Below are 14035 nucleotides of genomic sequence, written 5' to 3'. Positions count from 1 at the left end.
CTAAAAATACAAAAATTAGCCAGACATGGTGGCATGTGCCTGTAGTCCCAGCTACTCGGGAGGCTGAGGTAGGAGAATCGCTTGAACCCGGGAAGCAGAAGTTGCAGTGAGATGAGATGGCACCATGGCACTCCAGCCTGGGTGTCGCAGCGAGACTCCATCTCAAAAAAAAAAAAAAAAAGTGTACAAAAGAGCAAAATAAAACAGGGTTGTCTAGTACTTTAACACAGCAGTTAGATTTAGCTATCTACCCACAAAGTGGTAGGAAAACTCATGGCCATTCGCTGGCCAGATGTGGTTTTAAAACACCACTGCTGAGCACATGGATATAAGGCCATACTTCCGGTTCCTTAGATCAAAGATAAAGTTACTTTAAACTGCTTTGGGTGAGCTGTTCAGGCTTAACCTACTAGTCTGTAGCTCAGTTTTGTAATCAGAGCCAGCTAGGAATATTCTCTTTTGTTTTTAAGGCCCCAGAAAAGAGAAAAAACAAATATCTTTGGGTGGTAGCACAAAGGAATAGCTTTCCTGCTCCTTTGCATTGGTCTAATCTCAAAGAAACAGAAATCCCCTGGAATGTTCCTCTGCAGTTAACTCAAACAGCATCCAGACTGTTGGTGAAAACATATCCCCTTAGTCTGAGAGAGCCCTTTTAGGCATGGATCTAGCCCCTATTCCTTTCCTAACAGCTTCCTCCTGGAAGGAAAAAACCCATAACAACAGTCAATAATACTCCTTCAAGAATAAGTGAAAGTTTTGGGAAATGCAAAAAAATCTTGTCTTGATGCTATTATCACTGACTACCTGTGCTAAAGACTGCTGCTGCTGATAGTGGAGAGGACTGGATTTGAGAGCAGAGTGGGATTATGCAGAGAAAAGCAATCTCATCTTTCCTTCCCCAAACTCGAGAGGAGACAAATACAGGTGTAATTCCAAGAAGCCAGGTTCCTTACAAGAACTCCATTCCAAAGAGTTCTCCCATATCATAATTGCTCTCAGAAGAAAAAATGAATTGGTTTATAAATATCATTCCCCACTAAAAGGAAGAGGGACGCCTTAGTAAAATGACTGCTCCTTGGGCTGAGCAGAAAACGTACAAGAAGAGCCTGGAACATCTTGTTGTGCCAGAGAGTAAGAAAATGCTCAAAGAATGATGGGGAACTTGTCAAAAGGACACAAGAGCCAGATTGAAAAACTCTCACTGACCAACCCTGGGCCAATTTGAACATCAAAATAAATGATAGTAGCAGATTGTAACCCATTGAATAAAATGAGAATCCATGAGTTCATGTTCAAATAAATAAACACATAAATAAGGTTGGGTGTGGTGGCTTACACCTGTTATCCCAGCACTTTGGGAGGATGAGGCAGGAAAACCACTTGAGCCCACCCAGAAGTTAGAGGTTACAGTGAGCTATGATCATGCCACTTCACTCTAGCCTTGGCTAGAGTGAGACCCTGTGTCTTAAATAAATAAACACATAAATATGGAAGAAGAAAAAGCTCTTTCTTACAATAGAATGCCAACTAATAAATGTAAAAAAATGGAATTTTAAACATCATTATTTTGCAAACATCATAGTGATTAGTGAATCAGGCAAGAATCATGAATAGATGTAAAACCTATTGGGTGAAAGTATGGTAAGAAGGGGATAGTTACATAACCTCCAAATATCTCCCCAGAAATTACTCAACAATTACAAAGGAAAAAATAATAACTTTATGGTGGAGAAATCTGACAGACATCACCAAAATCAAGTGATCAAAGTTATTATGAATAATGAGACAAATTGTCACCGTGTGTCTACTGATGTGATGAACTGAGAAGAATATAACATCATTTCTGTGGTATTCTTACCAAAAATTCATAGCCTGAATCTAATTATGAGGAAATATTAGACAAACATAAATTGAGAGACAAAGTAACTGGACTGTATGCTAAAAATGTCTAGGTCATGAAAGACAAAGAAAGGCTGAGAATCTATTCCAAATTAGTCTAAAGAGACATGACAACTAAATGTAATGTGTGATCCTGAGTTGGATCCTGGGCCAAGCAAAAAATAGTTATAAGGGAAATTACTAGGATAATTGGCTAAATATGAATGTGAAATGTGAATTAGATGTTAGTATTGTATCAACATCAACTTTTCTGATTTTGATCATTATAGCCTGGTTAAGAGAATTCCTCATTCTTAGGAAATACACACTGAGATATTTAGGGGTAGCAAAGAATTATGCCTGCAACTTACTCTCAAATGACTTAGAAACAAATAAGTGGTGTGTGTGTGTGTGTGTGTGTGTGTGTGTGTGTGTGTTCTTCTATCCTATTCTTCCAATCTTTCTATAAGTTTGAAATCATATCAAAATAAAGATAAAAGAAAACAGTATGTGCTCCTCATTAAAAAGTGATGACAAAACTAGCAACCTGGGGCCACTGCTAGCAGAGAAGTACTGTGTCAACACTACCCTTGCTAAGGAAAAAAGTTGTTAAGTTACTCACAGCAGCGCAGTGTCCTGTCAACAGTTGGGATGATCTTGTTGACAAGCCAGACGTCTTCTTCCCAACTAACTATATTTCCATCTAAACACTTCATAAACTCTTCGTTTTCCAGGATGTGGTCCCAGAGTTGAAAGTAGTACAAGCTGCCAGGAAAGCTACGCATCATGCTTTTAACCTCGCTGCTCTCATTCTTGAGAAAGTGCCCTAGGAACAGAGTCCCATGAGGTGTCAGGTTGTGTGGTTGATCCGTTACTTCCAGTATCCTTTCTTTATTCAGGAAGAGTTCTAATTTGCCCTTCACACCATCCCATATCAAGCATATTGTATGCCATTGAAATGAAGCCAGGTGGTGACGGATAGAAAAGGTCTTTCCCAATCTGTATAGTATTAGCTGCTGATGGTCTCCTGCAAGTCCAAGGTCTATGTCTTCTCTGCCCAGGAGGGCGTTATTAGTAATATAAGAGAAGGCCATCCAATACCTTGAGTTGTCATCCATGAATACCAGATCAATGCATGCTGTGAATCGGCTGAGTTCAGGAATGGTATCTATCAGGCTTACATATGTGTCACCTCTTCCAAAAAAATCCAGCTTTTTTCCTTTTAGTGAAAGTGTATCTGTCCAAATTTGGGGGAGGGGAAAGAGAAAACAAATGAAATTTCTGTTAAAAATTGTTTTATTGTATTTGGCAATACAGTCAAATCTGGGTTATACAATATAATTATGAGTCAATACTGGTGCAAATAAACAAAAATAGTAGATGTAAAAAATCATCTCTATTTGACATTAGCATGTGATTTTTGTTTTGGCAGAAGAGTTTCTTCCTAATTATATTTTGCCTGGACTAATATGAAAAGTTAGATTAGTGTTCCCAGAGCACATACCAGCTGGACAGCTTGGAGAGGCAGTTAGAAGTGTATGGCTAGTGAAAGGGTAGGGAAGAGGCCAAGGAAAAGGCAGCTTGGAATTCAAATTTGCTACACATAATCCTCACTCATATAATCAAAAGAGAACTATTTCCGCCCACCTAACTGCCTTATTACATTCATGGTGCAACAGCAATTTGTTTCTCCAATGCCTTTTCCTGAGCCAAATGATCTGATTTATTCTGTCTCTGGGGACTGCTTCTCACTGAAAGGCACTGACAGAGGCCTGAAGAATGACCAGCTGGGCGATACTGAAACTCTGGGACTTGTTTGTACTCAGGAATGGAAGACATGGCACTGCCCTGGGTGCATCCTGATGGCCTCCTTCTGTCTCCTCACCAAGGGCACTGCAGTGGTTTCAAGATGGCCATAGACCCCAGTTACCATTGGCTCTGGAGTCAGACAGCCTGGGTTGAAATCCATGCCCTGACACTCATCAGCTGTGGAACTTTGAGCAAGTAACTTACCCTCCTGATACCTCAATGTTTGCTTCAGTAAAATGGAGATTTGGGGCCACAGCATTGTATGCCCGTTCAACTTTAAGGGCCACCATTCACATTATAGTCTATGCCAGATAATAGCCTCTCCCTGATGACTTTACAAGATTATTTGAAGATTAAGTGAGATGATGTATGCAAAACCTTGTTAAACATTGCTGAAGGACATGTCCATTGGGTGCGGTCTTTTGGTAAGTAGTTCGGCAGTATCTTTGAAACTTTACATTGGATATGCCCTTTGTTTCACAAGAAGCTGCAGATGAGTGATGATACTATCACCACTACAAATCTTACACCCCCAGTCTACTAGGTAAATATCTGAGGATTACCTAATTATCAACCTAATTCCAGTGCCAGTACAGCCTAAGCCAGAAGATAAAGAGCTCTGTGGCAGAATTGGAACTGTAACCACTCCCTGAATTACAGTTGTAACGTTGGGACCACCACTCTAAAACAGTGACAGCCATAACAGAACACTACAGAGGCTAGCAGGAAGTAAATACTTCCCTGCTTCTGGGAGATGCCGCCAAATGAAAGCTTCCAGATATTCTCTGACCATATAGTATTCTCTCCCTCCATTCCTCTAGTGGACATTTTCCAAAAGCAAACAATAACATGTATATGCCTGCCCCCCACACACACTCATATACATTCCACCTGCATCACACACTCCCATGTGCAGGAACTCATACTATCCACCTGCCGGGGAGTTATTTCTGAACTATCCATTGATGAATGAGAAAATGCTTACTTCTGTCCCTGGCTTCTGTGATTATATTACTTTATCATCTTTTGTGTGGCTAATAAATCAAGAGTTAATCCCACAAGACAATAAGTGATATGAAACCCAAGTCTCAATTATTGTTGGTTAACTGCCTTTCTGTTCAGCCCTCTGAAATGATGTCAGATACATTTAAGAACTGGTTTTACGGTGAGCATAAATCTCCAGGGCCTAGTTGCACCTTAAAAGAGAATGTATCATAATCTCATATGGTCTACAAGGGCCTCTCCTCTCTGCAGTATACTAATTTAGTTTTTGATTTTTTGTTTTAAGAGGGGGGGTCTCACTCTCTTGCCCAGGTTGGAGTGCAGTGGCATGAACATGGTTCACTGCAGCCTTGACCTCCCGGGCTCAAGCAATCCTCCCACCTCAGCCTTCCAATTAGCTGGAACCACAGGCGCATGCCACCATGCCTGGCAAATTTTTTAATTCTTTTTAGAGATGATATCTCACTATGTTGCCTAGGCTGGTCTGGTCTCAGACTCCTAGGCTCAAGCAATCCTCCCACCTCAGTCTCCCAAAGTGCTGGGATTACAAGTGTGAGACATCATGCCCAGCCTGCAGTATACTAATTTAAAACCAGTTGCCAAAAGATGGGAAAAAGCAATTTACAAAAGCAGAAATATAAAGGCCAATACTATAGAAAGATGCCACCTTACTATTTCTAAGCACAAATTAAAACAATAAGGAGACACCATTTTTGCCTACTTGGTTGATAGAATTTTAGAAGACAGAATATCCAGCTTTGGCAAGCCTGTGGGGAAATGAGTCACTCTTACACGCTGCTAGTGGGAGTGCCAATTAAGTATTATTTTTCTGAAGGGCAATTTGCCATTATCTATGGCAATCTTAATTGTATATAATTGTGTGTATCCTTTGACCCAGCAATTTCATTTCTATCAATTCATTTTAGACAAATATACAGATAGACAAAGATGAGAGTACAATGATATTTATTGCCACATTGTTTATAATCAAGAACAATTGACGAACCTGTATGTCTATCAATAAGTGACTATTTAGGAAAATTGCTACCTCTATACAATGGAATAGGGAAACAAACAAGATAGGCCTCTATAGTCATGGAGAGTTTTTCAAGGCTTACTATTGTGTGAAATAGGAGTTATATTAAGTGCAGGTGCAGTATTATCCTATTAAAAACTAAAAGAAAAATATGCAGGTAGTATGCCCACAGAAAAAAGTGTGGAAGAGCACATATTAAACAGTTAAGAATGATTATCTTTAGGTGTGAGATTAGGGAAATGTTTTACTTCCTATGTTACTTATTTCAGCATATTTGCATGTTTTAAACAATCATGTATTACACCTATAATCAGAAAAATAAAGATGGATGGGTGGATGGATAGATAGATGAATGGATGGAGAGATGTATGGATGAATGGATAGGTAGACAGATAAATAATAGATAATAGATAGATGATAGATAGATAGATAGATAGATAGATAGATAGATAGATAGATAGATAGATAGAATCACTGTGGCCTTACTTAAGATTCTGAAGATATAGGTAAATTCTGCTTAGACATAAGCAGAAATGTGGTATAGTGAAGTCTAAAAAGCCAAATTTGAGTCCCAGTTCTGTCTCTTACTAGCTGTGTGAACATAGGCAACAGATGCCTGTGAAAGCTCTCAGCACAGTGTCTGGCACATAGAGAACACTATATAAAAGTTAAATAAATAGCTCATATCACTTCTCCATGCCTCGTTCTTCCACAGTAAGATGGAAATAATAACTGCCTACCTCATAGGGCCATGATAAAAGATGATGCAATCATAACTAACATTTAGGTTATGTGTGTGAGAATGTTTATAAACTGTGCAACCCCATGTAAATGTCAGCTGCCATGTTTGCCAGGGTCACTATCAGAAGCCTCTTCCTTCCTCCACAGCCTCTTTTGCACCCTCACACATGGAAGCCCAACTGAGCTGAGCCCCACCGCAGCCTCTGGGCCTCCAGCAGGGCTCTGAGGAGGCCAGACTGTGACAAGGTGGAGAGGGGCTTTGCCCTTATGTTTGGCCAGGCAAGTAGCGTTCTCTGCCGCGCCTCTCAAGGGCCTGCTTCAAAGGCCACTTGTGTCTTTGCATATGATTTCGCTATCCATTGCAGATGTCTGCTTAGATGCTGCCATCTGTTCCCTGGCAATTTTCAAGTCCAAATTGCATGATTGCTCCCCTGAAGCGTGTTCTCTCTTGATTTGGCTCCTCTGTGTCTCTTCGCCTCTATCCACTGTTTCCTTTTATTTTAAATGACATTTATTGTCTTCCTTACTGTTTTTAAGGTGTTTTTTCCATTATAAAAGTGATACTGTACATGTTTTCTTAAAGAAAAACTGAAAAGTATTAGCAAGTAAAAAGATGAAAACAAAGCCAGCCAGAGAGTCCCACCACTCAGAGATAATCACCATTAACATTTTGGTATATTTCCTCAGTTTTTTTCTGTGCACAGGCTTTGCTTGTTTTTGTGAGGCTGAGATCATATTGTAAGGAAAATTGGGTCCCCTGCTTTTCTCACTCATAGCATAAGTGTTTTCCGTGTTAGGAAAAACTCATCATAAATCTCACTTAAATGGCTGTTACTACCCTAGGAGTGCCAAGCACCATTTTATTTGTACTGGGAAATTTCATATAACATAAAATTTACCATTTAAACCATTTTAAAGTCTACTATTCAGTGGTATTTAGCATATTCATAATGTTGTGCAACTATCGCCATTATCTAATTCCAGAACATTTTCATCATCCAAAAAGGAAACCCTGTACCCATTAAGCACTCACTCTCAGTTTGCCCCTCCCCTCCAGCCCCTGGCAACTACTAATCTGCTTTTTGTCTCTGGATTTGCCTGTTCTGGACATTTTATATAAAGGGAGTTAGACAATATGTGTCCTTTCTTGTCGGCTTCTTTCATTTAGCATAATGTTCATCCATGTTGTACCATGTGTCAGTACTTCATCCTTTTCCATGGCTTAATAAGATTCATTATATGGATGTATCACATTCTGTTTATTGATTCACGTTAATAGACATTTGGATTGTTTCTCTCTTTTGGCTATTATGAATAGTGCTGCTATGAACATGCATGTCATTTGTTTTGTTTGAACACATGTTTTTATTTATTTGGGGTATAAACGTAAGAGTAGAATTGCTAGGCCATATAGTAACTCTATGTTTCACTTATTGAGTAACAGCCAAACTGTTTTTCACAGCAGCTGTACAATTTTATATTCCTACCAGCAATGTATGAGGGCTCCAATTTCTCCACATCTTAGCCAACACTTGTTGTTTTCCATTTACTATTATTATTGTCATCCTAGAGGTTATGGAGTGGTATCTCATTGTGGTTTCGATTTGTATTTCCCTAATGGCTGATGACATTGAGCATTTTTTTAAATATGTTTGTTGCCATTTGCATAGACTCTTTGGAGAAATACATATTCAAGTCTTTTGCCCATTTTTAATTCTGGATACCAGAACCTTATCAGATAGATGACCTGCAAATATTTTCTCCAATTCTGTATTGTCTTTTCACTTTCTTGATAGTGTCTTTTGATGTGTAAAAGTTTTTAATTTTAATGAAATTCAATGTATCGAATTTTTCTTTTCTTTTATTGCTCATGCTTTTGGTGTCATTTCATTTCATTTCTTTCTTTCTTTTTTTTTTTTTTTTTTTTGAGATGGAGTCTTGCTCTGTCACCCAGGCTGGAGTGCAGCGGTGCAATCTTGGCTCACTGCAACCTCCGCTTCCTGGGTTCAAGCAATTCTCCTGCCTCAGCCTCCCGAGTAGCTGGGAATACAGGCATGTACCACCATGCCCAGATAACTTTTTGTATTTTTAGTAGAGACGGGGTTTCACCATGTTAGCCAGGATGGTCTCGATCTCCTGACCTCATGATCCACCCGCCTCGGCCTCCCAAAGTGCTGGGATTACAGGTGTGAGACACCACGCCCGGCCGCTTTTGGTGTCATTTCTAAGAATCCATTGCCAAACCAAAGGTCGTGAAGATTCTCCCTTATGCTTTCCTCTAAGAATGTTACAGTTTTAGTTCTTACATTTAAGTCTTTCATCCATTTCAAGTTAATTTTCATGTACAGTTTGAGATGGGGAAGTCCAAGTTCATGGACACAGAGTAGGTCCTTTGTAGCTGTTTACTGAATAAATAGTTGTATCCTGTATTAGGGCACTGAGTTGGAGGCTAATGGGTGGGCAGATGGAGTGCTGTCCCTTGTGCAAAGGTATCAGGAATGAAGCATCTGGCATAGAATGAGAAGTTCTGGACTGTATACTGAACTCGTGCTCTGCCTTCTGTTTTAGGGAACTTTTAGCAAAAGATCAAGGGAGAATTCTCTGTCCCTGTCAGACCCCAAAAGTAATAAATACATTTATTTTAAAAGTCAGTGAGTAAGGCCAGGTGTGGCAGCTCATGCCTGTAATCCCAGCACTTTGGGAGGCTGAGACGGGCGGATCACCTGAGGTCAGGAGTTTGAGACCAGCCTGGCCAACATGGCGAAACCCCATCTCTACTAAAAATAAAAAAATTAGCCAGGCGTGGTGGCAGATGCCTTTAATCCCAGCTACTCGGGAGGCTGAGGCAGGAGAATCACTTGAACCCGGGAGGCAGTGGTTGCAGTGAGCCAAGATCACGCCACTGTACTCCAGCCTGGGCGACAAGAGCAAAACTCTGTCTCAAAAATAGATAAACAAATAAAATAAAAAGTCAGAGAGTAAATGGTTTAAAACTCTAAGAGATAGACAATCTGAATGGTTTGTTTTTTTTTTTCAGCAAAATCCCTTTGTTTTCTGCTTATGACAGCATTAAGTAACATCAGACATATCCTATACAGGTTTTTCTACCCTTTCTTAGAAGGCAAAGTTTCTCCTTAAAATGTTCAAGTGTTTCAAAGTTTGGGGGACTGTGGTTCCAGGTCCACTGTCCTGCACTACGTTCAGGGCAAAGGACAAATGAGGTTCTTCCATGGTCAGGTACTCTGGGCATGATCTGGTCACTGTCTCTTCTCCATGAGGTAACCTGCTTTCCTCTTTTTAATTCTAACCCAGTGAGCCTGCCAGAGCATCAGTGTCTGTGTCATTAGTTTGCCAGGGCTGCCATAACAACATACCACATACTGGGTTGTTTAAACAACAGAAATGTATCATCTCACAGTTTTGGAGGCTAGAAGTCCAAGGTCAAGGTGTCAGCAGGGTTGGTTCCTTTTGAGAGCTGTGAGAGAGAATCTGTTCTATGCCTCTTTCCTAGTTTCTGGTGGTTTTCTGGCAATATTTGGTGTTATTTGGCCTATAAGCACATGACCCCGATATCTGCCTTCATCTTTAGATGGTGATCTCCCTGTGTGCATGTGTGTGTCCACACTTTTTCTTCTTATAAAGATACCAATAATATTGGATTAGGGGCCCACCCTACTGCAGTATGACTTTATCTTAACTAATTATATTTTCAATGACTCTATTTCCAAAGAAGATCATATTCTGAGGTACTGAGGGTTAGGACTTCAACATATGAATGCTGGGAAGACACAACTTGACTCAACACTGTGTAGGGCTCAGAACCCAGCTAATCACCTGGTAATACCTATGAGAGCAAGGTGAGGCTGCAGAGCAGATTTGAGGAAAAGGGCCCACCAGAGGCATCAGTTGTGTTTATACTTTGAAGAATCTGGCCACTCTGAGAGTGAGCGTTCTACCAAGGCTACTCCATGTCTGCCTTATCTTGGAAGTGTCACTACCCACTCATAAAAGGGCAGGTGAGCAGATACTCACTTGAGGAGGGAGTCTTCTGGCTCTTAGAATCACAAATCCTTGGAATTCAACGTTCTGGAGCACTGAAAAACTTTGTAGACCAGGCCCTGGTCTAGCAGCCCCATGACTGTCTGAGTAGATATAATCAATAGGTACCTGATACTGGGGAGCTCCATTACCCACATCACCATGGCCATAGTGTGCACAACCACAGAGAATCAGAGTCACTATCTGCCACCCACTGCCCACACTTTCCACTGGTCTTGTAACCAGGCTAATCCTTAGATAAACCAGGCCTACCAGATATAGAAGCGTCCAACCCTGATCCTCATTTCTGTCACCAATCACCAGCCACAGAGTTGTCCAACACATCCCTTCCTCTAGTACCTAGGCTGCTGACTCCATTTGTGGCCTGCCAAGAGTTCTTGGCATAGGAGACAGAGGAATTATCCTCACATAGGTCATGTGATTTTTCCTTCAAATCTTGGATTCAAGGCCCATGTCTCACCCAAAAAAATAGATGTCCTTACTCATAAAGCCAGAAGCTCCCTGAAAAAAAATTATTTACTCAACAGTGATGGTCACTGAGCATTGACTATGTGTCAGTGTTAGAGTGCAGTAATAGAGGAGACATAACACACAAGGTCCCTGAGCTCATCAGCTTACATTCCAGGGACAGATGCAGTCAATAAACAAGTAAAGGAAAAAACACAAATTACATACAGTACTCTGAAAGAAATTGACAGGTTGATGAGTTAGGTAATGGGAAAAGCAGAGATGAGGGGAAAGGAAATGTCTACATTATGTAGGATAGTTAAGAAAGGCCTCTCTGAGAAAGAGTCATTTTTAGCTTAGTCCCAAGGGATGAAAAAAGAGCCAGGGTACAAAGATGTGGAATAAGAGTGACCCAGACATGGGTAACAGTACGTGCAAAGGCCTTTTGGTGGGACTGTGCTTGGTGTGTTTACGGAATACTAGGAAGCCAGTGTGTCTGGAGCAGAGGGAGAAAGAGGATGCATGGTAGTAAGTGAAGCCCAAGAGGCAGTGGGAGATCAGATCATGTAGTGCTTTTTAGGTCTCATTAAAGAGTTTGAATTATATTCTAATTTTGATAGGAACTTATTGGCAAGTTTTGAGTAAAAGAGTGGTATGATCTGACTTGATATATTAAAGGATCACTCTGGCTGCTGTGTGGAGAATAGACTGTAGCAGAGCAAGAGTGAAAGCAGGGAGAACATTAGGAGGCTACTGAAGTCAGCCAAGAGAAAATGATGGTGGCTCAGCCCATGGCGGAAGCAGTTAAAATGGTTTAAAAAGAGAGAGAGAGAAGAAAAGAAAAGAAAACGGTCAGATTTAGGATGTATTTTTGTGGTGGCATGAACAAGACTCAATGGATTAGATGTGGAGAGTGAGAGAAAGGGAAGAATGAAAGATAGCCCCTAAGTTTGCATAATGGTGTGTGCAGAGAAGCCATTTCCAGAAGAGGAAAGACTACTGATCATTACCTGGCAGTGGAAATACAGGGCCCTCTACTAAGATCTCTATGTTGTGATGCTAACAGCTCCCATAAGCCCTACCTTGATAGACCAACTCAAAAGCACCTAGGTAACAAAAATCCAGGCCAAGGATCCTAGAAGCCCATCCACCTCCGGGCGGTGAACAACATGGGGAAAACTGTTTCAGACCTACTTTTCAGCCTATGCAATTCCCTGTCAATATTTTTACTGTTGAAGGAAATTTGTACAACTTACTAGCCTGAGACAGAATATGGTGGTCAGTCACCCTCCTAAGTGACATGCTCAAGCTCAAACAGGCTATCATATGAGCGTTTTTCATCTGTCCTATGCTAGACAAATGTGCTATGCCTGTGCCAACTCAAGGAAATATGTATCTGAAAAAATTAAAAAGAAAGAACTTATGCTTCAGAGTCTAGAATGCACAATTTCCCAGGTGAAAGGCTTTGAGTATTGTTAGACAAAATGTCTGTTTTTACACATGAAAAAATGCTTAATAGTCATAGGGAAATGCACATCAAAACCACAGTGGAGTATCACTTCATTTCCAATAGGATGGCTATGATCAAAAAGATAGACAATAACAAGTGTTGGTGAGGATGTGGAGAAATCAGAACCTTCATACACTGCTAGTGGGGATGTAAAATGATGCAGCTTCTTTGGAAAATGGTCTGCGTGCTCCTCAAAATGTTAATCATGAAGTTACATTTGACTCTGCCATTGCACTCCTAGGTATATTCACAAAAGAAATGAAAGCATATGCCCACACAAAACTTGTACACAAATGTTCATACAGCATTATTCATAATAGTCAAAATGTAGAAACAATTTAAATGTCCATCAACTGGTGAATGGAAAAAAATATGAGGTATATCCATACCATTGAATATTGTTCAGCAATAAAAATAAATGAACTGCTGATGCATGCTACACATGGATGAACCTTGAAAACATTGTGTAAAGTGGAAGAAGCCAGTCACAAAAGGCTGCATATCGTATGATTCCATTTACCTGAAACGTCCAGAATAGGCAAATTCATAGAGGCAGAAAACAGATTACTGATTGTCAAGGCCTGGAGTGCTGGGGGAGGAACGGAGAGTATGGTATTTCTTTTGGGGGTTATAAAAATGCTCTGGAATTAGATAGTAGTGATGGTTCCACCACTCTAAATATACTGAAAACCATTGAATTGTATACTTTAAATGGGTGAACTGTATGGTATGTAAATTATATTTCAGTAAAGCTGTTTATTTTATTTTATTTTATTTTATTTTAGGGACAGGGTTTCACTCCGGTTGCCCAGGCTGGAATGCAATGACGCGATCTTAACTCACTGCAACCTCCACTTCCTGGGTTCAAGCTATTCTTGTGCCTCAGTCTCCCGAGTAGCTGGAATTACAGGTGCATACCACCATGCCCAGCTCATTTTTGTATTTTTAGTAGAGACGGGGTTTTGCCATATTGCCAAGGCTGTCTCAAACTCCTGAGCTCAAGTGATCCACCTGCCTTGGCTTCCCAAAGTGCTGGGATTACAGGCATGAGCCACCACACCCAGCCCAATAAAGCTGTTTAAAACAAATATCTTTTCTCAAATGCCAGTCTCTACAACCTTCTAGAACAGTGCTGTCTAATAAAACCTTCTGTGATATGGAAATGTTCTGTATCTGCAATGCCTAATATGGTAGCAACCAGCCACCTGTAGCTATTAAGCACTTAAAACCTGGCTTGTATTACTAAGAACTGAATTTTTAACTTAATTTTAATTAATTAAAACCTAGCCACATGTTGCAAGTAATTACCATATTGGACAGCTCAACTCTTGAATTCATACAGAAATTTAGTTTCTGCTCAAAGTTTATCCTCCACTTCTCTTTTCTCGTGGAATTAGTTTCTCAAGAAAAGATAGACCAGGCAGGGTGGGACATGCCTGTAATCCCAGCACTTTGGGAGGCTGAGGTGGGAGGACCACTTGAGCTCAGGAGTTCAAGACCAGTCCGGGCAACACAGCGAGATCCTGTGTCTATTTACAATTTAAAAAATAAAA

At 40.4% G+C, this 14035-nt stretch overlaps 1 protein-coding gene across 5 annotated transcripts in view; it reads right to left on the bottom strand.

Annotated features, from left to right (window-relative positions):
- The window catches only part of ADGRG4 (adhesion G protein-coupled receptor G4), a 115928-nt gene that overhangs the window by 90998 nt on the left and 10895 nt on the right, over window positions 1-14035 (bottom strand). For all 5 annotated transcript variants that reach the window (NM_153834.4, XM_011531269.3, XM_047441830.1 and 2 more), the window contains one exon: window positions 2501-3115. In NM_153834.4, the coding sequence (NP_722576.3) occupies window positions 2501-3115 (615 nt within the window). The remainder of the gene's footprint in view (window positions 1-2500; window positions 3116-14035) is intronic.

This window comes from Homo sapiens, chromosome X, assembly GCF_000001405.40.
Source record: "Homo sapiens chromosome X, GRCh38.p14 Primary Assembly".
In the NCBI taxonomy this organism is placed as follows: Eukaryota; Metazoa; Chordata; class Mammalia; order Primates; family Hominidae; genus Homo; species Homo sapiens.
Note: the sequence above shows the minus strand (reverse complement) of the source record. Positions and strands in the feature narration are given on the sequence as shown.